The 24999-nt window shown below is 36.7% G+C and overlaps 1 protein-coding gene across 16 annotated transcripts in view, besides 2 other annotated features; it reads right to left on the minus strand.

The window, feature by feature from the left end:
* Window positions 1–24999, minus strand: part of LYST (lysosomal trafficking regulator) — a 222683-nt gene that overhangs the window by 92954 nt on the left and 104730 nt on the right. For 15 of the 16 annotated variants that reach the window (XM_011544032.2, NM_001301365.1, XM_011544031.2 and 12 more), the window contains 9 exons: window positions 23079–23324; window positions 20929–21102; window positions 19858–20007; window positions 16176–16313; window positions 12095–12293; window positions 8736–8867; window positions 4988–5615; window positions 3297–3474; window positions 1494–1663 (listed from right to left, as the gene is read on the minus strand). In XM_011544032.2, the coding sequence (XP_011542334.1) occupies window positions 1494–1663; window positions 3297–3474; window positions 4988–5615; window positions 8736–8867; window positions 12095–12293; window positions 16176–16313; window positions 19858–20007; window positions 20929–21102; window positions 23079–23324 (2015 nt within the window). Of the gene's footprint in view, window positions 1–1493; window positions 1664–3296; window positions 3475–4987; window positions 5616–8735; window positions 8868–12094; window positions 12294–16175; window positions 16314–19857; window positions 20008–20928; window positions 21103–23078; window positions 23325–24999 lie in introns of those variants that run through there. The other variant, XM_047443064.1, reaches the window with a different exon arrangement.
* Window positions 10097–10216: an enhancer, noted in NCBI's record as "active region_2803". NCBI's record gives its function as "activates an Ori minimal core promoter by ATAC-STARR-seq in GM12878 lymphoblastoid cells {active_cell/tissue: GM12878}" and the evidence as "EXISTENCE:reporter gene assay evidence [ECO:0000049][PMID:35858748]".
* Window positions 10247–10326: a silencer, noted in NCBI's record as "silent region_1990". NCBI's record gives its function as "represses an Ori minimal core promoter by ATAC-STARR-seq in GM12878 lymphoblastoid cells {active_cell/tissue: GM12878}" and the evidence as "EXISTENCE:reporter gene assay evidence [ECO:0000049][PMID:35858748]".

Here is a 24999-nt window from a genome sequence, read left to right on the forward strand (position 1 = left end):
TAATTTCTGCCAAACTTTTGGTTTGGGAGAAAAATATTCTTTTATTTTTACACTTATTTGCTAATCCATCAGCATTCTACCAGGGTCAAAACTCAGCAATCAGTGTATCCAGGAATTCTAGGTGAGGGATTTACTCCTCTCCCAGATGACCTGAAGGCTCTGAGGAGAGTAAGGCGTTCCTATATGGATCCTTTATGTAATCTGTCACTGAGAATACATGAGCTATCTTTTTTTCTTTTCTTTTCTTTTTTTTTTTTTTTTTTTTGAGATGGAGTTTCACTCTTGTTGCCCAGGCTGAAGTGCAATTGTGCAATCCTGGCTCACTGTAACCTCTGCCTTCTGGGTTCAAGCGGTTCTCCTGCCTCAGCCTCTCAAGCAGATGGGATTACATGAATGTGCCACCACGCCCAGCAAATTTTGTATTTTTAGTACAGACAGTTTCATCATGTTGGTCAGGCTTGAACTCCTGACCTCAGGTGATCCACCTGCCTCTGCCTCCCAAAGTGTTGGGAGTACAGGCTTGAGCCACCACGCCCAGCCTCACCTGTCTTTTCAGTTAATCTTCTCATGTTAATACTATCTGCCAAATCTTAGCTATCACTTTCATCTGATGCAGCTTTTATTTGTTTCTAGTTTCTAACTAGTGAATGAACTATAAAGGATGAAGTTATATTAGAAAGAACATCATATGGCAAATAATACATTGATTTACCTGGAAAATTACTTTTAGCAGATTTTTTCTAAAGGTGACCAAAAGATTTCGTTAAGAGTGAGTTCACTAAATTTTACATTTAAGACAAAAGACCTTGCCGGGTGTGGTGGCCCACACCTATAATCCCAACACTTTGGGAGGCCAAGGCAGGAGGATGGCTTGAGGTCAGGAGTTTGAGACCAGCCTGGGAAACACTGCAAGACCCATCTCCACTAAAAGTAAAAAAAATTAGCCAAGTGTGGTGGTGCGTGCCTGTAATCTTAGCTACTCAAGAGGCTGAGGCAGGAGGATCCCTTGAATCTAGGAGTTCAAGGCTGCAATGAGCTGAGGCATGACTGTGTCTCTCTGCACTCCAGCCTGGGTGACAGAGTGAGACATTGTCTCAAAAAAAAAAAAAAAAAAAAAAAAAAAAGCCAGGCATAGTGGCTCACACCTGTAATCCCTGCACTTTGGGAGGCCAAGGCAGGCAGATCACGAGGTCAGGAGTTTGAGACCAGCCTGGCCAACATGGTGAAACCCCATCTCTACTAAAGATACAAAAAACTAGCCGGGCATGGTGGTACGTGCCTGTAATCCCAGCTACTCAGGAGGTTGAGGCAGGAGAATCGCTTGAACCTGGGAGGCGGAAGTTGCAGTGAGCCGAGATTGCACCATTGCACTCCAGCCTGGGCAACAGGGCGAGACTCCGTCTCAAAAGAAAAGAAAAGAAAAGAAAAGAAAAGAAAAGAAAAGAAAAAAGACAAAAGATTCCCAATTATAGTGGAGGGAAGAACACACTTACTCTTCATCAAGGCCAATATGTCGACCAAAGAACATTTCGATGAAGCATTCTAACAATTCTTGAGTTCCTCGATGAAGATACAACTGGTTGGCTAGCAAGGAAAATCCACGATTCTTCAGAAATTTATCTTTTTGTTCCTTAGATGCTCTAGCAAAATATGCATCTAATAGCTAAACAAAAAATTTAAGTCAATTTAGATAATGCATTAAAATTAAATATAATATATACAAATCAGTGTAACACAACTGTATTTGTAAATTAAGTTCATATGTACAGAAGAACACAGAAAGCTTAAAAAAATGCCACCACCACAGCAAAGCAGAAATGAATTTGTCTTTGGCTACTGTGGAATGCTAATGATGACTCCATCTTGGAGATCTTAATGTTTCTCTCATGGGGAAACTGGCATTTTTAGCTGAGCATGGACACCTGGTAGACTGGCAGCCTTAGTTGAGTATAAATAGAATATTTGTACCTAATGCTGAGAGGGAAAAAATCCGTAAACTATGCTCTCTCTGCAAATCTATATCTATATCTATATCTATATCTATATCTATATCTATATCTATATCTATATCTATATCTGTATCTATATCTATCCTAGACCTCTACTTCTAGGCTTCTTGACAGATTATTTATCCTGAGCACAGGCCTGAATTTCCACCCTTCTCTAGCATCTTAAATGCAACACGTGTAATACCAAATTAATCCTTCCACCTCTTTCTCCCCTTCAATGACTCTCACAGTAGTGATAGACTCCTTTCCCCCAGACACACATCTATTTATTCCCCTACTAAAAAAGCTTTCTAAGTTTACAGCATAACACAAAATATACTTTTTCCATGAATCCTTCCGTTTCCCCTATGCTCAATTCTCTATTAATACTGCCACTGCAGTACTCATCACAGAATTTCTTACGTTTTACTTAGTTAAGTATGAGACTCTCCCTTCTAGACTGTGAAATTCTTGAATGTAGGGGCTTATATTATTTCCCTTTATATACTATATTGCAACTAGCTCAGGGACTTACACATGAAATGCGAGCTCAATACTAGGTTGTATTGCAAGTGATTAAACAATACCTACATCCAAGCAAACTAAAGAAAAATGAGAATCTTTACAAGATTATTTTAATATTGGGTTGTTTTCTAATGGAAACTATTCATATCAAGCATTTACTCATTCAATAATATACTTAGTACCTATTACACAAGATGCCCACCCTCATGGAGCTTATATTTGTGAGAAATTTAAAAAACAAGTACACAGATTAATAAGATAATTACAAGACATAAATAGGATGCTATGATAGAATAAATAATAAGTAAGATTAGAGGGAAGTTATTTTGATAAGATCATCAGGGAAGGTCTTTTTGAAAAGGTGTCATCTAAGCTGAGAGCTGAAGTAAATGTCTAAAATTTGATAGTACACTGAAGAAGAGATTTCCAATGAACCACGTATTCCTTGTAATTTTTACAAAAGAGATTTACTAAGTGTTCAGATATGGGGATTTATTGGTAGATTTAAAAGACATATTGATATGAACCAACATATGGAGGGGGACTTAAAGCTGGATGATGCAAAAATATGACCATGTAACCAAAAACCCCTGTATCCCTAAAGCTATCAAAATAAAAAAAGTTTAAAAATATATGAGTATTAAGTAACAAACTATATTAGTTCATTATTCTAAAATATAAAAGAGAGATTTAGGTCTACTTTAATGTATATACTCAAAATTTTAAATTACATATATATTTATTTTTCTGAATTAAAATAACATATCTAGTATTTGCCCTTACTTTAATAACACCTTGTTGTATAGCTGGTGATGGGTGGTTAACGAGGACCAAAAGTGTATCTGCTTGAATAAGCTTGTCCATCACATCTTCAAGCAAAACATCAGGCAGGATAAGAAGAACCCCACTTAGGAGTTCATATAATCCACAGCATATAGGTACCAAACAGTCTTCAGTTACACTAAAACAGAGACCAAAAAAGTCTTACTAACATGACAAGAAAAGTACTTGATGATTACCTTAGGAACTGTGACAAGTAGTAGCATTTTTTAACAGGTGAAACAAATGTTCATAATGCTTAAGAAATGTTTCCTAATTTAACTGTGATTAACAAATTTACCATCACTTTTTATCATTGATTTTTTTGGGCATATAGTCTACTAACACTATTCAATTGTACATCTCTGATGTCTAATACAGTAGTCACTGTCACTTATGCTATTTATTTAAACTAAAAATTCAGTTCCTCAGTTGCATCAGCCACATTTCAAGTGCTCAGTAGGCATATGTGGCTAGTGCTGACTGTATTAGACAGCATGAATAAAACATGTCCATCATTGCAGAAAGTTTCACTGGACATTGCTACTTGAGATGCTATTGGAAATGTTTTTTTTTTTTTTTTCACCAAGGAAGAAACAGCTTTATTAGGAGTCTAGGCATGTCAGAAAAACCCAGTTCACTCACAGAGAAGAGAGGCAAATATTGGTACAGGGGAAGAATCTAGCATTACAGAATATCCTCTCAAGAACCAAGTGTGAAAATAAAACCTCCATCTAAATATCCTAACAAATGCTGCTGGGTTTAGCCCAGGTGAAACTTCTGGAAGCTCCTGGTGAAAGGAGATTTTTTTCATAAAAGGAATGCTCTCTAGCACTGCTGCATTTCAGCTCCATATAAAGTTATGGGTCTGCGATAGCAGAAGTAGAGGAAAATATAAGGGGGATATCTCATCACCAAAGCAAGGTCATCTGTGTCCAGGTGACAGAGGAACCTTAAGTTTCTGGAGAGAGAACAAACTGGGGTAGCAGAAGGAAAATGGCTGAAGAAATACAACGCCTAGGCAATGTCTGTCATAACATGGAGGACTCTGTGCAGTCTGGTGACAGCCTGTCCTGGGAAACACTGGTATTGCTTTCTGAGGCCATTTTAGCTTTCTTCTGACTTCATCCAGAGAAGAACTGCCAATGTTCAGCACTAAGACCTGCATTATAATTACCTGAGTGGAATGGAGCAGCCACCCTATGACACCTGTTCCTCTTCCCTTCTGGAGCCGTCACTTGTCTCTGATCAAGTAAGATGTTACTCAGGACAGGCCCAGTCTAGAAATCACTCCCACCTTCACATGAGCACCAAGTGGACAGAATCATTCTCATGAGTCAAAGCTCTAGATAAATCCTATCGTTTCTCTGTCCTGAAGAATTTTCCTTAATAACTATAAGGAATTAAACCACAATATATATTTTTTAAGTGCTACTTATGGTTTAGATTTTGGTTAAATATGGAATTCAATATTATCTAGTCTTAAAATAAGGAAAAATATATCTTTCTGTTTGTTATTATTATGTATATAAAGAAATAAACTTTTCTGTTTGTTGTATTATAAGTGGCATAATGAAGACGTTTCCAGAGGGGTAGAGAGTCTTTAAAGAATAGTAAAATAAAGGTGGGAGGAGTGTACAAAAACACATAAGTACCTGTGAGCACTTGCAGTTCGGTTGTAATTTGGCTCATAACCAAGAGAATAGGCAAAGTTTTCCCAATCATCAGTGTTTCTATCAACAAGACTTGGCCAACGGCCAACAGCTGCAGATCCGTTCTGTGAAGGAAAAGCTAGCCCAAGGCTTGCAATAGTGCTGTGGCTTCGCTGGAAGGAGGCCAATCCCTTTAGGTAATCAGGTCGGCGTGGGCAGGACTCATCCCCAGGACTGTCATCTTCTGACCTGGGTTCTGCTCCCAACTGTTTATGATCTGCTTTGACCACTGGAAATCCCAGCACTCCCTTTGGGACATCACTGACAGAGACCTGGGCTGAGAGGACAGCTTCCATTTCACAAACAGTTTTTGCAGACTCACAGCTACTGATGAATGCGTCCTCTTTGCCTTTTTTCAGTGTGTCGGAACTCCCCAAAGAATTTTGTTTCTTTGATTGGGTGGCAACATAAGTATCTGCAATATTTTGTAACCTGTCGATACTACAACCCAAACTTCCAGTCAGTTTTTGTGATTGCGTTAGTAGTGAAGAAGTAGGGAATGCTGGTAGGCTTCTAGAACGCAGCATATGGGCGGCCATCTGTTGTGGAATAATATTAGAGGAATTCTCTCCTGGTAAGAGTAGATACAAAAATACTACTTAAAAATCTATTAAGTGGAACCACCTCTCTTTTGCATTATAAATCACAACCACAGCAAAAGCCCATTTATCTAGCACTGTTAAAATCCATATAGGTTAATTTTACAAGTAACTAATGCTTAAAATTCCTTTACTTTTTCTTAAGAGACAGGGTCTTGCTCTCTTACCTACTGAAGTGCAGTGACACAATCACAGCTTACTGCAGCCTCTAACTCCTGGACTCAAGACAGCCTCCCACCTCAGACTCCAAGCAGCTGGGACTATAGGCATGCACCCCACACCTGGCTTAATGCTTAAAATTCTTAAATGCCAAAACTATTTTTATTTTAACCACTTTTTATTAATATCTTCCCAAAACATATGTTTTTTCCTGTCTTCTTAACAAAATACAGTATTGACTGAATGATTCAAAGTCATTAGGATTAATGGTTCTACTGTGCTGAATTTAAGTGAATTAAGTGAAACTCAATTTACCTCAGGCTAGCAGTTACCAGGATGTAGTGGAAAGAGTGTGGGCTTTGCAACTAGATATAATTGGATTCAAATGATAGTGAAGTGGTCCAAGGTAAATCACTTAATTGTACTACAGTTTCTACAAATGTAAAATGAGGGTTCAGAATATCTACTTTGCAGGGTGGCTTTAAAGATTGAGATTATATTTGTGATGCACCTAGCATAGAGCTCAACATATAACAGGTGCTCAAAAAATGGTAGTACTTGTTGTTACTAGCCTAAACAGCCCTAGACAGTTCTCTCTCTCCTCCATTTTTGCAGTCACTTCTTGCTGTTATTAGTGAGAATAGTTTCTTTTCTTGTCACAGCTCTCTAATTTACTGCTTCTAATATTCTATGCAGGAAGACACCAGAAAAATTATTTTCATTGTAGTGCATGGGATACAAGTGCATGCCATTCAAGGTGTGGTCTGTGGACTGGTAGCATGGGCATCAATACCACCTGTGGGATTGTTGGGACTTCACATTCTCAGGCTCCACCCTAGATCTACTGATACAGAATGTATGAGAGAGGGGCCCAGGAATCAGTGTCAACAGCTCTCCAGGTGATTCTTTTGCAGGTTAAAATTTGAGACCATGAACACAGAGTAAACAGGCATTAAATGAACTGCTTTAGAGCATAGACTCTGTGGCAATAAAATAGCTCCATAGCTCAGAATCTTTTTCTAGTTATTTCTGGATTTGGGCTAGAGGGCTAAAGTTGCCAAAAGATTCTCTTCAAAAGATCTGGAAAAAATGGGGGTATGATTGTATTTGAAAATGTTTCAACATGACAGATGATTTAAAAAACAAATATGTCCTGTAAAATTCCAAATAAAACTAATTCAAAAAGGCCAGGTGCAGTGGCTTGAGCCTGTAATCTCAGCACTTTGGGAGGCAGAGGTGGGTGGCTCACTTGAGCCCAAGAGTTCAAGACCAGCCTGGGCAAAAAGGCAAAACCCTATCTCATTTATTTAAAAAAAATTTTTTTTAAAAAGAAAAGGAAAACTAATAAAAACATAGCCTTAAAATATTATTATAAAAGAGCATAAAAAGTGCTAGAGAATAACTGAAACACTTTGGCAGGAAAACAAAACTAGAGACTAATACCTATATATCTAGTTCTATCTATCTCTATTACCATCTCACCTGCAGTATTTAATAATTAGGATTGAAGCTAAAGACAAGACTAGGTTGGACTGACAATAAGAGCAATGTCCCAGTATGGAAAAGGACAGTAGTCAGGAAAGGAAAAGATGTATGGTCAGTTTGCAACTAGAAAACCTGCACCTATTCTTTTCTTCTATAAAGTAGCGATGAGACTCTGTTAAGAGTCAATTAGGAAGATAGAAAAGTACTGTAGGCTTAAAGACTTGAATACACTTACTATGGAAATAGAAGAGGGTATTGATTCTGAACATACCTAAAAATTACAGGGCAGCCTTTAAAGCTCTGCTACAACTTTCAGCAGTATGACAATGGTTAGACTGAGGCGAGGTTAGCATTTTTCAGTTCAAGAATACCAATAGGCTAAGGGGACAAGGAAACTGAGATACTTTCCAACTGAGTAACTGCTGAAGTTATTGGCTAATGTGACCTAGGCTGGATAGGGAAAGCGAGACAAGGGGAACTTTGGAGTGTGATTAAAAAAAAAACAAAAAAAAACCAGAAAGATGGGAGGCTGTCAATTAGAGAGGATGAATGCATCCCCTTTGCCTTTTTTCAGCATGTCAGAACTCCCCCAAAGGATTCTGTTTCTCTGGTTGGCTGGAGGGCTAATGATACAGAAAGATTCTGTTCAAATGAGAACACGTGGACACAGGAAGGGGAACATCACACACCAGGGCCTGTTGTCGGGTGGGGGGAGGGGGGAGGGATAGCATTAGGAGATATGCCTAATGCTAAATGACGAGTTAATGGGTGCAGCACACCAACATGGCATATGTATACATATGTAACAAACCGGCACATTGTGCACATGTATCCTAAAACTTAAAGTGTAATTATAAAAAAAAAAGATTCTGTTCAAAAGACTTGGAAAAGAAATGGAGCCATGATTGTACAGTATTTGAAAATGTTTCAGAGTGATGCATGTGATTGAAAAACAGATCATATGGATAGAACAAAGCGGGATATTGTAGTTTCACAGGTGCTTGAAAGCATTCTTGATGATGATAAAGTCCAAGACAGATGCATGCAGAGCGGTAAGACAAAGTAGAGAAAAGGTACCCTGAGTCAAAAAATGTGAAGCTGGAGTATTGGGTGGCCATTTATCTGGCAAGTGAAGTTGTCCAGAATGATGGTTTTAGGTAGACAGAAGAGAATAAAAGTTTTTAAAAAGCTTCTGAAGAAAATGGTAAAATAAATCAGAAGCTTGATGAAAGACAAATGACTATGATAAGAGAAGTCAGAGAATGCCAGAACAAGATAGCATGAGCCTCATCCATTTTCTCAATGCTCTTGAGGACCTGTGCTGGGTGTCTCTTGTTAGATTGAATGAGGTTGTACTACATATACTTCTAAAATATGTACAATTTAATTATCTAAGAATATTCAGAACTAAAATGAGAAGGTCATACTTCCATTATTGCTATTTTTACCTTCATATGGTGAAGCAGTAAAACCAGATGGGCTTATTACCATAAATCCAGGGCTCATAAGGGACCTTCCTCCACTGCTGGAATGCCTCAGGTACATGATTGACCGCACTTTCTCCTGAAAGATCTTGCCATCTAGAATCCAAATTTTTTTTGAAACAGCAAAATTTTTAAAAAGGATAAAACGAAAATATAACTTTAAAAGCAGATCATTAAATTCAAATTTTGACAAAAAGATGTTTAAAGAGAAAAATATATAGCATACTTTATATTAAGGCACACGATATGTGAATACTTACTCTTCACAATTTTTTAGTACAGATTTTGCTGTTGTTTATTATTTCTGGCCACATTAACTTCTATTTTCTTAATTCCAACTGTACTTATAGTTATTTCTATGGTTTAACATTTAACTATTCACTTTTATATGTTATTATCATCTCTCAAGGGAGATTGTTCATCCTTGAGGAAAGGACTGTGTCTTTTATTTTTATATATCCCCTTCAGTGTCTAATATTTGTAAAAACTAATCATTTCTGAGCTTCATACTTATAAATTCAACTGCTTGGTTTCTTAAACAAATCACAAATGCAACAAATCTAAATCCGAATCATCTTTTTGCCCTAAATTTACTCCTTCTGTTTTGTTCTTTGGGAAGTTCCCATGTGGTAACCTGGAGCTACCCTTGACCACTACCTTTCCTTTATCCATGGCAAATCAGTCACCAGGTTCTACTGACTTTTTCCCTTTTTTTGAGACAGTCTTGCTCTGTCGCCCAGGCTGGAGTATGGTGGTGTGATCTTTGCTCACTGCAACCTCTGCCTCCCTGGTTCAAGCAATTCTCATGCCTCAGCCTCCCGAGTAGCTGGGATTACAGGCATGTGCCACCACGCCCAGCAACTTTTTTTTTCTTTTTTTTTTAAGGAGAGACGAGGTTTCGCTATGTTGACCAGGCTGGAGTTGAACTCCTGGCCTCAAGTGATCCACCCACCTTGGCCTCTCAAAGTGCTGGGATTACAGCATGAACCACCATGCCTAGCATGACTTCATTTTTTGTTTCTTGACCTCTTCTCTTCCCTACCATAGTGCTATAATGCAGGCTTTATCATCTCTCAACTGGGTTACTATCACAGATTTCTAAATGGTATCCTTGATGAGCATCTCATTACTCTCAAATCCTCACAGCTACCAGAATTCGCTCTCTCTCGAATGTCAACTCCTGCTTAAAACCTTCCAGTGGCTTTCTATGCCTCCTTACCACCTTGGATAAAACCCAAGCTTCTTGTCCACAAGAATTACCACTATTTGTCCCTAGGTCCCTCCCAAGCCTTGTTTCATAAATTACATTTCAGCAACACCACTTTCTCCTAGTTCCCTGTCAAGCTGTTTCCTTTACCTGGAAGGCCCTTTTCTCTTTGATTCTTACTCATCCTTTAAGATTCAGGGCAGGCATCACTTCCTCTGGGAAATCCCCCTCAGTCTTCATATGCTCTATGCTACCAGAAAACAAAAATGTTGACTGCCTTATCACTGTGCTTTCCACGTGGCATGATATAATCGTTTCTTTATCCTCTTTCCCTCAACTAGGCTGTAAACGTCTTAAGAGAGGGGACCATATTTTACCCATCTTTGTAACTAACCCACTCTCAGAATCTTTATCCACAGTCCTTTTTCCATGAAATGTGCTAAGCCTACCACAAAGTCATGCTATCTAATTTCATTTGGACATTTACTGCTGCTTATTTTATTCATTTACTACATTTCTTTTTTTTTCTTTTCTTTTTTTTTTTTTTTTTTTTTGAGATGGAGGTTTGCTCTTGTCACCCAGGCTGGAGTGCAATGGCACATTCTCACCTAACTGCAACCACCGCTTCCCGGGTTCAAGCCATTCTCCTGCCTCAGCCTCCCAAGTAGCTGGGATTACAGGCATGTGCCACCATGCCAGGCTAATTTTTTTTTTATTTTTAGTAGAGATGGGGTTTTGCCATGTTGGTCAGGCAGGTCTTGAACTCCTGACCTCAGGTAATCTGCCTGCCCCGGCTTCCCAAAGTGCTGGGATTACAGGCGTGAGCCACCGTGCCTGGCCCCATTTACTACATCTCTTAAAATGGCTATTGTACAACCAGTTTTCCAATGTAAATTTATGACTCAGCTTTCTTGTAGGTACATTCTTGCTTTCTTTCTTACATTACATTTCCCTGGTTCTTAAAAAAAACTGATTATTCCATCTTTCTCTTTTACTGATTCTTCATTCTTGTCCTACCCTCCAACTAGTAATACTACCAGCAGTTCTTTCCTTAGCTTTCTCTTTCCTTCTCTTGCTCTACTTTTCTTCAGTGGTCTCATCTGTTCTCAGAGCTTCACCTCACTTCTATGTGGACAGCTCCTTATAACCTACCCTTCCTTCTTCATGCTGTAACCCTCATTCCCAATTGCCTACTAGAAAATTATATTATAAATAACTGCAGGGCACCTCAAATACAACATATATTATACAACCAAAGCCATTATCCTTTTTCCTTAACACCTCCAGAGTCATTCCATCCTAAACTTCCCACTTCTCAATTTATCCCTCCTTTCCAGTTCCACTGTTACTATGCCCAGATTCTGTTATCCTGTCTCTCACGGACTACTATAATTGGCCTTACTGCCCCTAGTTCCTTATTCCTGAATTCTACTGCAATAATTTACTTATAGCCTTTGCTCAAAACAAACAAATAAAACCCTTTCAATGACCTATAACTAGAATACAAGTTCGAATTCTCTGGCCTTACATTCAAGGACCCATTTGATATGACTTTAGGGTAAAAATAAGTAAATGGTGGTCTTAAACTGTATTTATGGCATTATTTCTCACTATTCCTTTACAGATCCCCTATATATAGGTAAAACTCATTAGTCCTTATTTTCTATTTCCTTTTATCCTCCCTTTAAAGTCATTGTCTTTACCTGGAACACTAACTCTCCAATCTACCTATCAAATTCTACTCAAAATCTTCAATGTCTACATCAGATGTCATGTAACCTATTAAATATTCTCTCCACAGTGGTCGGATGAAACCCTCTGTCCACTGAAATCTCATTAGTTCTTCTTTTGTGTCTCTTTGATACTTACCAAATACACATTTTTTTTTTTTACTGTAGTTATTTGAGTCTATGTCTCCTTTCTCCACTTGGCATTTAGACTCCTTGAGGACAGAGGCCATGTCTAGTTCATTCTATAACTCTCTGCCCTATCCCAACCCCAATATGTAATTAGAGCAGCACAGAGGCCATTCAAATGTCAAACAAATGTGAATCAAGTGGGAAGAATAAAACAAAAGTGGAAATAGCCATGATCTAACAAAAATGATTATACCTACCTATGTGCAAAGAAAAGTAGAAGTTCGTGGGATTGTGACAAACGTAAGTATTAGTAGGAGGGTGAACTGCTAAAAGGAAATTGAAGATAATTGTCAATAATTCCAAATCTGGAGGAGATCCAAGGACTTCTGCTATAATTTTCACAAATGATCTACAAACCTCTCGGGGCATGGGTGTGAGTTGCCCCTCTTTGTATTCCTGAAAAAATAAAAAAAACTCTCTTTAGATTTAAAGAATTGTCAACTTAACTAAGATTTTTCATTTAGGCAAAATATTCTTTTTAAGATAGAATTCTGTTGGTTTACTACTCTAGTCTGATCATACTTACCATTACCATAACAACTCATTAAATTGAGTTATTTCCTAATTCAAGCAATCTTGTTATTAAAAATTCATTAACACAGATGGCAACTTAATTCTAGCCCATGTATCTTAATTAACTGAGGCAAACTTATATAACTCTCACAAGCGTGGTCTCAAAAGCCAGACTTCCTAGGTTTGCATTCTGGTTTCTCCACTCACTAGCCATGTGATCTTAGGTAAGTTACTTAACATCTGCATGCTTCACTTTCTTTGTCTATGTGAGTAATACTAGTGCTACTTTATAGGGTTGTTATAAGGACTAAATAACATAAACTCTTAGAATAGTGCCTTGCATATAGGTAAGCCCCATATAAATGTTAGTGATAAACTACAATCACTACTATTACTACTGCTACTATCTTTTCTTCTCCTTTTACTACTACTACTATTAGTAATATTAGTATAGGATTAGGACAGAAAACTTTTGATGGACAAAACTCGTTATACTAATACAATATGCTCCAGTTTACAAAGCTTTTTTTCACAACAGCTCTATGAGAGGTTTTAGCCCTCATTTCTAGAATATGAGGCACAAAGAGGTTATTTGACTAGTGTAAACCACACATAAAATATGTAGGTAGTACAATTATAACTCAAACTCAGGCCTCTGAACTCTTTCTACTGCACCATTTACTGTCTGGAATAATGAGGCTTGGCAAAATGCCAACTAATTACTAAAAATAAAGCTGTATATAAATAAATTGCTTATATCCTCCAATTCCATCTCCCCAGTGGGTAGCAGCTGGCCTCCAGATTAAGGGTATGGGAGGTAAAATTCCTCATCTTCCCTCTTCATATGTCCAAATATATATCTCTACATCCACTCTTCATTTACTCTTGGGTATTACTGAATTGGAGTACTTAAAATGTAGATGTTAATTTTGAAACAATTTAGTTCGACTACCTCAGATTTAAGAAGGGAACACTGAGTCTACAGAAGAAAACACAAAACTCCTTTGCCAAGTTCTCATAGCTGTCAAGTGGCAAAGACTAAGACAGGAACATAGATCTCCCGACTTCCAATTCAGAACTATTTCTGCTACAACCATCTGCATTTCTTCTAAACCATACTCCATGTATCTTCTTAACTTTCTTGGTTGCAGCATCAGTGATTCATTCCCAAGTCCAGCCCAGGTTACTTCTATCTTGCCCTCTCCACTGACTCTTTATCAATAGTCACTGGTATTCTATTTTATTATTTTTTTAATCCCTTAACTTTACCTTATATGAACATTCTGTTTCTGTCTTTGCTTTTGCTGCTGGACTTTTTAATAATCATTTGTTCTCACTGCCTTCAATGATCTGCCACACATGCTGTCCAAAGTCCCTGAAATCTGGCTCTTGCCTTATCCATGCTATTGAAATCTTGTAAGTCATTAAGAATTTCTGAGTCAATGGCCCTTTATCTGCCTACATTTTCTCTGAACTTTCTATATCATTTGGTTCAAGGTATCATCTTCTTCTCTACATGTTCTTCCCCCTCTGCCGACCTCTGGCTTTCACTTTACTGAGTCTCCTCTTAGCTTTTCAATTACTCTTTCTGTATCTCTTTCAATAGCCCCTTTTTCTGGTTTCACATCCTGAAAATGGGTATCTCCTGAGGTGTAAACCTCAGTCCTCTGATTCTCTCACTACGTTTCTCTGTCTTGGAGTGCTTCTCTATCCTGATGGCTTCACTATTACCAGTTCACTGTTGCTGAATATCCTGCTGTAATTTCAAATGTAGATACAAAAACTACAAAACTTACAAGGTTGCTTTTTTTTCTTATGAAATTATTGTTTTTCTGGTCTCCCGGCTTGAAATTTTATGTTATATTTGACTCCTCCTGAAGCTCCATTTAAAAAGAATCAAGTCCTATGAATTCTATCCTTATAATCTCTCCCATATTTGCTCCCTACTAAACACTCCCATTTTAATCACCAGGGTTCAGGTTCTTTATGCTGTACTCACAAATGAATGAAACTGCCTTACATCCAATATACTACCAATTTATTAATCTTCCTAAAGTGCACAAACACTCTGAGGTAACTTAAAGGCAAAGACTAAGTTCATTTCTTTATAAACTTCCCACAATACCTGACATAAAGCTATGTTTAATAAATGGCTGTTAATTTGATAAGTGGGCTCTTTGAACAAACAAGGGTAAAGAACTATACATGTAAAGAAAAAAATTTGTACCTAGATTTTTTCTAGCATTTTTGTAAATAATACAAAAGTGAAAAAATATATGGAAATCTCAAAGTTTATAAGTGCCACTTTTCTGACATGCAAAGACTGAATAAGAATATCACATTGTCATATGAACTTAATGAAAATTGGCCAATATATTTCAAAATGGACATGCGAAGGAAAAAATTTTGAGGAAAACTGATGTATAAATGATGCATAAAACACTCAGTAAGCAAGGGGCCTGAAGGATCAATCGACATATTCTATTCCCTACAACAATAGTCTAATTTACCACAGGGGCCAAGAAAGGCAATAAAATGTTTTTGTGTTTTTGGAATTCATTCATTTAACAAATATTTATCAGATGCCCAGGTGTGTCAAGTACTGACATTACAGTGTGATTTAAAACAAAACAAAACAAAAACCATATCCCTGCTTTCAGGAGGCTTACAGAGGGAAATAAACCATAATTCCATAAATAACTAACAAACTGTATGTACATAGTGTATAAAGGGAAAAAGACTAATTTATATGGAAAGGGCAGGGAAGGTATCTCTCAGGAAGTAAGTCTTAAGTTGCCACGTGGAGGATAAGTAGGAGTTGGCCAGATGAAAAGAATGGGATCAATAATTGTTAAAGCAAAAAGAATACCATGTACTCTGAGACAGAAAAAAGTCTTACTTGTTTAAGGAAGGGAAAGAAATCCAGGGAGGCTGAGTACCATAAGATGAAGCTAGAATGGTAGCCAGATCATATAAGCCTTCTCATATTAACACTTCTTACAGATGTTGTCACAGATTTTGAATTTTAGCCCAACTATAATGAAAAGCCCTTAGTGCCACCGAAGCAAAGGCGCTCAAAATATAAAATATTACTGATCTCATGGAGTATCTGTACTTATCTAACTTGACAAAGTTCTAATCGATGCCTTAGACATTAAAAAAAACTTGGAAAATTGTCTAATATACCAACCAAGCAGATATTTATCAATGCCTTTTATCTGTTTGGTTGGTATTAGATGATATCAATAAAGGCAGAGAAAAAAATTAACTAAAAGGGCCACAGCATAGACATTACAATGTAACTGATACAATTAGTGTCACTTTTTAATAAAAATTTTGGATACAGTTTAAAATGCTAATTCTAGCATATAAAATAGACCGTTAGCAAGTTTATATTTATTAAAGCAATACATATTTGTAAATATTTATTTAAGGAATATGGAACAAGTTAAAATTCATTAACTATTCTTGCTGTTCAAGGCAGTACAAAACTATTATTCTATCCCAACATAAAGAAACATCTAAGAAATTTAGTAATTGTACTTTTGTAATTGAGTTAGGAATTATGACAGCGTGATGATCAAGCTGTAAGATGCAGCAGTTGAAAAACTCCTGTACTATTTTTTGAAAGAAGAGAATCTGGAGAGAAGATGGAAAAAAAAAAGAAAAAAAGTCCCATTGAAAGTGCCACAAAAATTTGATGTTCATAGTATTATTAAACAACTGTGGAATATATTTCCAAAAGTAAAGTTACATGAAAAGTACCTGCAAAACCTGACAAGTCAGTAGAAAGTGATGAACCACTTGAGCTTTCAATAACTGCTTAATATTAAACATCTGCTGGTGGTGATCTGCTCTGATGAGGACTTCTAGAGCTGCTAGCAAAGTTTCCCAAACACCTTGCTGAAGAGATAAACACACACCAATAAGCACATACTTACTGAAAAATATGCAGCATGCTTTTTGGAAGACACACAACGCGCAACAATTTAACATTGTGTATATATTCAGTATCAAAGATTACATGTCTGCAAAAAGCCAATGTTAAAATTTATTCCCTATTATTTTTTGTTGCCAATAGGCTATTTCTAAATAGCTATGTTGAATACAATATTGTATTAGGTGCTTTCCTACATTACCCTTTCTGTGGCATTAAATGTATTTTCAAAAGATGAATTATCAAGAGGGATTATTCAAATTAGAGAAGCACACACATTACCAACATTATTGTTTTTAAATAATTTATGTTCAAAGAGTGTTGTTAAAAATGTACACATTTCAATACCAATCTGCATATGCAGCATTTAACCAAAAAATTTTAGAGCAAATCATACTAAATTGAAGAGTCATGGATAATGTGAAAATTCTGCAATTTTAGATTAATTTACTTTCAAGTTCAAATAATAGAATTATCTGCATGATTACAAACTATGCACTTCAAAGAGTAGTTAGCATCCCTTGACAGTGCCTTAAAATGCTTCTCCCATATTGAATCAATCTTAACTTGTCCATAATACTAGAGAAAAAAAGAGATCTTACACTGATAACTAATATTGAAAGATAACCTTCCCTTCATCTTATTATCCTAATTGACCTTTCAATAAAGCTTTTAACAAAAAGCAAAATTAACTGGCTTGGGTTGCAGAGCCTATTTCTCCTGCCATTATCTGGCAATAATGAACCAAGATATTGATAGACTTAATCATACTCTTCTACCCAGGGTCTCTCTCTTTATAAGATAGAGCCAAGATATTCTAAAAGACAAAGCCACACGAAAACCAGCAGACAAGGCAGCCAAAGTATGAAAACATGATTCAAATCTGAAAAGTAGTACCAAGATAAAATAGTGCCAATGTAAACAAACAAATACCAACAAAAAAAGAAAAACGAGACTTAGTTCAAATATAATTAATTACGTAAGAAAATCTTATTTCAAATCCATAGAAGTAATATGTGTCTTATCACTTTCAAATTCAATTTAAAAATGTTTCTTTTAAAATCAAACAACCCCAAATTTGCCTGCTCTTTTGAAGTACTAAATAAACTTTGTCCAACTTTGTCCAAGTTAGGTTTTCCAACCTGCAACTGAGCATATTCTTTATTATACATTTATACTGCTTTTGATCCAATTTGTTTACATATGCTATCCCTGTAATTATTTGCTTTCTCCCTGCAATATTACACATATTTTAATCTATCTTATCTTTTTTTTTTAGATCTGAAAGTATATATTTATTCAGAGTGAGAAAAGGCATCACAACCAATTACAAAGTTTAAAAAACTGAAAAGTACCATGAATACCACAAAATCCAGAAACATGGCAATAGTTAGTTGGCTGTTGGACATGCCTTTCAAAATACTTTTCTCTGTTTTGTGGCTGCATACTCTTGAATTGCCTCTTCATGTAACAACAATTTTGTAATATAATTTTCTATAGGAAGAATAGAAAATTCTCTTTCCTCTAGCATATTTGAACTAAACTTATTTTTATTACTAATAGATTAGAAAAGGTTTTTTAGTTTGTTTTTTTTTTTTTTTTTTTTTTTGGCCAGGCATGGGGGGCTCACGCCTGTATCCCAGCACTTTGGGAGGCCAAGGCGGGAGGACTGCTTGAGCCCAGGAGTTTGAGACCAGCCTGGGCAATATAGTGAGACTTCATCTCTACAAAAAAAAATTAAAAATTATCCAAGCATGGTGGTGCACACATGTAGTCCTAGCTACTTGGGAGGCTGAGGTAGGAGGACCACTTGAACCTGAGAGGCAGAGGTTGCAGGGAGCCAAGATGGTGCCACTGCATTTTAGCCTGGGTGACAGAGTGTGCTCCTGTTTCAAAAAACAAAAGGAGTCTTTTTTCAACCTCATAACTCATTACTGGTAATGTGTAAATTTTTAGGGACTGTTGGCAAGTTGGGAATAACCATTTTAAAAAAATTCTAAAGGTATATATATTCTGAATTGCTCTATAAATAATATTTGTTGATAATCTTGTTATATTCTAATTAGTTCTAGACAATCTAGTTTTTTTTTTGCAAAAATCATCAGTACCTACTAGAACCCTGCCACACTTAGAGCAAACAGTCTACACTAGAACTAAGAAGGCTGTATGAGCCTATACTATTAAGATTGCTTAAAACTAGGGCAGAAAGGAAACAACCCTATACTCATTCCCTGACTGGGTCCTTGTGAAGACAAGCCCAGCCATTCCAGGTGCTGAGATGTAGTGCCTACATCTAAGATCAATCTATGTTGCTTAATTTGTACTTACGATGAAGCCTTGCCCTATATACCATGGTCCTATCTCTAACTCCTGGCCAGCATGGCTCCCCTAGTTAGAAGTGTATCCATTTCCCTCTCCTGGACCTGACTCCCCTGACTCTTAGCAGTCTCCCCTTTCAGAGTTTATGGTAAATGCAAGCCTTCAGCTGATCCAGATAAGCCCATATGCTCCTGCCTGACTGCAGTATTCTTAGCCAGCCCAAGTTTGATTTTGACTCTCCAGCTCAGCATTCCCCATGGCTGTTCAAAACTTTGCATGGGAAATAAGTGCCAGATTTCCATTTATAATTAACATTACAATGAAGTAATAAATTAATTATTTCTTTCAGAAGAATGATTAGATAAATATTTAAAAGAATATGCTGGCTGGGGGTGGTGGCTCATGCCTATAATCCCAGCATCTTGGGAAGCCGAGGCAGGCAGATCACTTGAGCTCAGGAGTTCAAGACCAGCCTGAGCAACATGTGTGAAACCCTGTCTACACCCAAAATACTAAAACTTAGCCAGGCATGGTGGCACACATCTGTGGTCCCAGCTACTTGGGAGGCTGAGGTAGGAGTATCATCTGAGCCTGGGGGTGGAGGTTGCAGTGAGCCAAGATCACGCCACTGCACTCCAGCCTGGGCAAAAGAGTAAAACTCCATTTCAAAAAAAAAACAAAAACAAAAGCAAACAAACAAAAAAACGAGTATATGCTTCTATTCACGGTAGCTAAAATGTGGAAACAATCCAAGTGTCTCTAAACTGATGAATGGATAAGCAAAATGTGATAAATATATAGAACGGAATATTATTCATTCTTAAAAAGGAAATTTGGACATATGCTACAACACAGATGAGCCTTGAAGACATTAAGCTAAGTGAAATAAGCTAATCACAAAAAGACAAATACTATACGATCCTACTTATATGAGATCCTTAGATTAGTCAAAAGTAGAATGGTGGTTTCCAGGGGCTAGAGAAAGAGGGAGAACATTTGTTTAAAGGGTACAAAGTTTTGGTTTTACAAAACAAAAAAGATTTACAGAGATGGATGGTGGTGATGGTTGGACAACACTGTAAATGCACTTAATGCCACTGAACTGAAACTTAAAAATGCTTAAGATGGTAAATTTTGTGTTATATGCATTTTACCACAATAAAAAATGGAAAAAAAGTACATATTACATGCCTCTGCTTTACTCCATATCTTCCAGTCAAGCAATAGTTCCTCTAACAGCTTAACATCTTGGATTATAGCATTAGAGTCTACATCCAACTTAAACTCTCCATTCTCATTCATATAAATAATATCTTCACCACAGCATCCTTCAAGAAGGGTCTATAGAAAATTAGCATTAATATAAGATGCATTAGTAATTGGTTAATCAGGAAGTTCAACAGAAACATTAAGCTTTCAATTTTAGCAATCATTAAATTCAAAGGAAAGCTAGTAAATAATTTAACACTTCACAAAGTATCTTTAACTTGTTTTGTAAAACAATTCAGATAAGTAGAAAATCCCAAACTTACAAATATTTTTAAGTGAGTACTCAGGTTCAAACAAGGGGTGAAAACAAACAGCACTCAATTTTTATGTTTTAAATTGAATTAATCTGCTATTAGGCTTTAAAACGTTTTCAAAAAAGTAGTAAGGATTCATGCCACAAATGTATGGATCTTGCAGTTTAAAGAAGTAGGGGTGGAGGCAAGGGTAGAGCAATCGTCTTTTGCCTTAGTACCAGAAGTCTCAGAGAGAAATATTTCCACAATGTTACCAAATGCTTTCATCTAGAAATGTATTTAAATATATGATGATAGCGGGATCATAATAAAAATGAGCACGAATATCTGTGACTTGAAAAACTAACTCTGTAGCAGCAGTGCCTAATGGAATGGTATGCCTCTAGGTGCCTAGAGAACTGGGTTCTCTGCCATAAGGGTGGGAGCTAAAGCAAAGATCTCATCAATCTACAGAATGAAGGGACAGCATGGGAGATATCTATGGCCCACCCAGGTCTAAAATTCAATGAGTTTCTTTCTTTCTTACTTTTAAAAAATGCTTTAAAGAAAAGAAAAATGTAATTATTTAAATGATGAAAAGAACTAGAAGAGTATCTTAGTTTGATTAACTATACACTAATAAGTTTCCTCCATTTTCTTCAGGAATAACTGAAATACAAAACTATTATTGGAAGACTTTGATGACGAGATGAGTATCACTGCATATGAAACTATAAGAATAAATTTTATGAAGACATACCTTCAAAATGTAAAACCCAACAATGCATTTTTGTTTGATCAACACCTGATGAATCATAGAAAGTCCATTACAATTTTCTAATTCATGTACTCTTTGTTGGTTGTATTTAATTAATGAGAGTATAACTCGCAGTGCTAATGCTTGAGTTTCTTCACAGCTACTGAGTTCAACAACCTAAAAAAAAAAATGGGTGGATATAGTTTTCTCCCAATTTGCTGAGAGTAAAAATTTAACATGTATAATCTTCCATTCTGTAACATCAATCCATTAGTTTCTACAAAGTATTTTTTTAATGCTCATACTCTACCTATGTAAGGCTTGTGAATAAACAAAACTGAGAGTAAGGCATAAACTCCATGTTCTATAGTCTCTTATATATACTATAGTATACAATGACACACAACCTTAGTGGCCAGTAGCATTTTATAACTAGTGATCTGAAGTGTCATAAGTTTTTGATAAGTTAGTCAATAGACAGGCTCTGCATTATGTGGTAAGGGAGATAAAAAGAAGTAAAATACATGATACTTGTTCCCAATGGGGTCTACTGTCCTGTCAAAGAGATAAGATGTATCTATAAAAACCACATGTCCTGCCTTGTATGTCAATTTACTTCAACCAACACTTTCTGACAACTACTATATACATAAGAAACACACACTTATTATCATGCTAAAGGCCAAAGAAGAATGAGACAATAGGTATTCTGGAGAGCACAGAGACCATTCTGATCCCTCTCTGCTTGGTTTAAGGGAAGGCTACACAGAGAGAAGATGGCCTAGGAAGAGAGCCAAATCCTGGAAAGCAGGAATAAAGGGGTGGCTAAGGCAGGGCACAGCCAGGGGAAGGGTAAAGGCCTAAACTGGAAGTTCACAGTACATCTAGGAAGCTGCAGGTTGCCTCTTTGGCTGGATTGTAGAGACCAGGTTCACAAGGCAGGTTATGCATGTAAGGATTTTAAGGACACTGAATTTTATTTTTGTAGGGGAGGAGGAAGGATACTGAACAAGGTTTATAAGTTTTAGACTTAAAAACATACTTTAAAAGTCTTATTGGCAAGATACTAAACATATAAAGATAAAAATGTAAACATTTTATCTAAGATCCAATCTCTATGTAACAATAACAAAATTATATTCAATACCTTGATGAAAGAGAAGAAAACAAGGATATACATTTTGAAACTATACGATGGTACAAAATATCACAAAATATTGGTGAGGAGTTAAAGGGCTTTTAATTTTAAAACACTAGGAGATAATCTATTTAACTAGACACTAGATTAAAAAAACTATGAAAAAGGAAGAGGTGGAGAAGAAAAGACAGATTACAGAGTATGGTGGATCAAATGCTAACAAAATATTTGTAAGAACCCTAACAACAACAAACGCTGATATGCTTCTTATTGCAAAATTAATCAACGATGCTTCCATTAAAGAAAGTTAGATAGGGAGACTATGAAAACTTGATAATGTTGCAAAAGTTATACTTAGGGATAAAACGAAGATGGCATTCCGAGGATGAAGGAAGATCAAAGCTGCTTTAATTAAACAGGGATGTGGATCCAGAGGAAGTAGAAATGATTTTTACTAAAGTGAGACTGTTGGTGCTCCCTAACATAGGTTTCAGCAATCCCTGAAATAGTCTATAATTACTGACTGTCTACTTTGCATCAGGACAGATAATTAAATGACTCATTCGAAAATGGTACTTATGGCCTGAGTCAAACTTTATATGTCTCTTTTTTGAAAAAACTCCAAACCCAAACAAATTAAAGTTTTTTTTTTTTTAAAGTATTTTTTGACCCTTAGTTTTTTCCTATGCATTGGAAACATTTAAGGAATAAAAACTTCATAAATTTTATTTTTAAAAATATCCTCCTCTCAATTTAAAATCTTGTACATTTAACATTTAATTGTACTAATTACATTTTTGGTTAATAGAAAACTTCTAAAATATTCATAAATTAGAAGAAACCTTAATCATCTATGGCAGAAAGCTTAATAACATTTTAATATGTAATTTTTTTATGTTAAAAGTTTAATATAGTCGAGTGTAGCTTTTTCGTGTGGTCCAAAAGAAATCCTTTAATTTATCAATAATAAGTAAGTCATTTCTCTTTAGACAAAACTATAAGCAGTGATTCTTACCCTGGCAAAGAGAAAAACAAATATGCCAGTTCCACCAATTTCGTGCAGAATGCCTTGAATAGTTTTATATTCAGTAGGTTGGAGATTCTTTAGATGATGAGGTTCTAATAAGATGCTCTGAACTTCTTTTGAGCTGAAGGGTCTTTGAGAGAGTTGGGTTTTCATTTGACCTTTAAGTCTAATCACTGGTTCATAGATGGTATACTGAGCAGGACAGTAAGTTGTATAAACAACTGAAAGACTTTCCTGAAATACAAATATTTTCATTCAGTAATGACAACAAGTTTAAAATGCAAGCTATGAACTAGCAAGTAAGTATTTCAAAGTGAAAACACACTCAACTGATCCTTTTCTTTGTTTAAAAAACAACAGCTACTACACTAAACAGATAAACATTAGAAGCAAGGCTGTTTCCCACAAAGCAAATGGTCAGTGATTTATTTAGCAGTGATCAATTGTATAGATCACATCAAGGTTGAGAAGGATTCCAGCTTTGTTCGGTTTAGAATATATATTAAGTTATACTATTACTACTAATATCAACTAAGTCTTAAACCACACTTATTACATACCAGGCACTATTCTAAGCACTTAAAAATATTGGGAACTCTGGGTCAGGTCAATTTATTTGAAATTTTTGCTTTGCATTTGCTCATTGGCTGACTCTTCATTTAAAAGCAACTCTAAACTAGATCTTTCTACTGGAATAAAATTCCAGATTGTCAACAGTCAGCACACCTAACTAAAATAAAATAGAACTTCAAATATTTCTCCCAGGCAAAGGATAGTTTCCATCAGTGTGTGGCTCCCTGTCAAGATTCTCTAAACTATTTTAAAAATTAAAGTTAATTTTAAATACAGAATGCATGTTTTTCTTAGAGACAGTGTCTTGCTCTGGCACCCAGGCTGGAGTGCAGTGGCATGACCATAGCTCACCGTAGCCTTGAACTCCTAGGCTCAAGGGATCCTCCCACCTCAGCCTCCCAAGCAGCTAGGACTACAGGCACCTGCCACCACACCCAGTTAACCCAGTTAAATATATATATATATATATATATATTTTTGTAGAGACATGGTCTTGTTATGTTGCCCAGGCTAGTCTCAAACCCTTGACCTAAAGTGATCCTCCTGCCTGTGCCTCCCAGAGTGCTGGGATTATAGGCATGAATCTTGGTGTCTGGCCCATAATGTACTTTAAGGTGGTTTTAATGGTAGTAGATGCCAAACCCAGGCTTAGGGAAATCATATAGATTCAGTGTCTTCTCTCAGAACTGGATGGGGGCCTTGTGCTTAGATTATTCTTATTATTTATTTATTTATTTATTTTTCCGAGACGGAGTCTTGCTCTGTTGCCCAGGCTGGAGTACAGTGGCGTGATCTCAGCTCACTGCAACCTCTGCCTCCCGGGTTCAAGCAATTCTCCTGCTTCGGCCTCCTGAGTAGCTGGAATTACAGGTGCATGCCACCACGCCCAGCTAATTTTATATTTTTAGTAGAGACAGGGTTTCACCATGTTGGCCAGGCTGGTCTCGAACTGGCTGGTCTTGAACTTCTGACCTCGTGATCTGCCCGCCTCAGCCTCCCAAAGTGCTGGGATTACAAGCATGAGCCACCGTGCCTGGCCTGTGCTTTATTTATGACCCACAGCAATCAGACATACCACCCAGCGTATCTGTGCACCAGCTAAACCAATTATACTGTCTGTTGTGTATGATTATGCTGGAAAAGCAAAGTTTCAAACCTGCAGTAGTTTCAATCAGAAATCTGACGTTGCACCCTGACATGAGGGTACCATTTCTTGTCTTTTTTCTTTTTTTTTTTGAGACAGAGTTTGACTCTTGTTGCCCAGGCTGGAGTGCAATGGCGCATTCTCGGCTCTCTGCAATCTCCGCCTCCTAGGTTCAAGCGATTCTCCTGCCTC

The sequence above is a fragment of the Homo sapiens genome, chromosome 1 (genome assembly GCF_000001405.40).
Source record: "Homo sapiens chromosome 1, GRCh38.p14 Primary Assembly".
NCBI classification, from domain to species: Eukaryota; Metazoa; Chordata; class Mammalia; order Primates; family Hominidae; genus Homo; species Homo sapiens.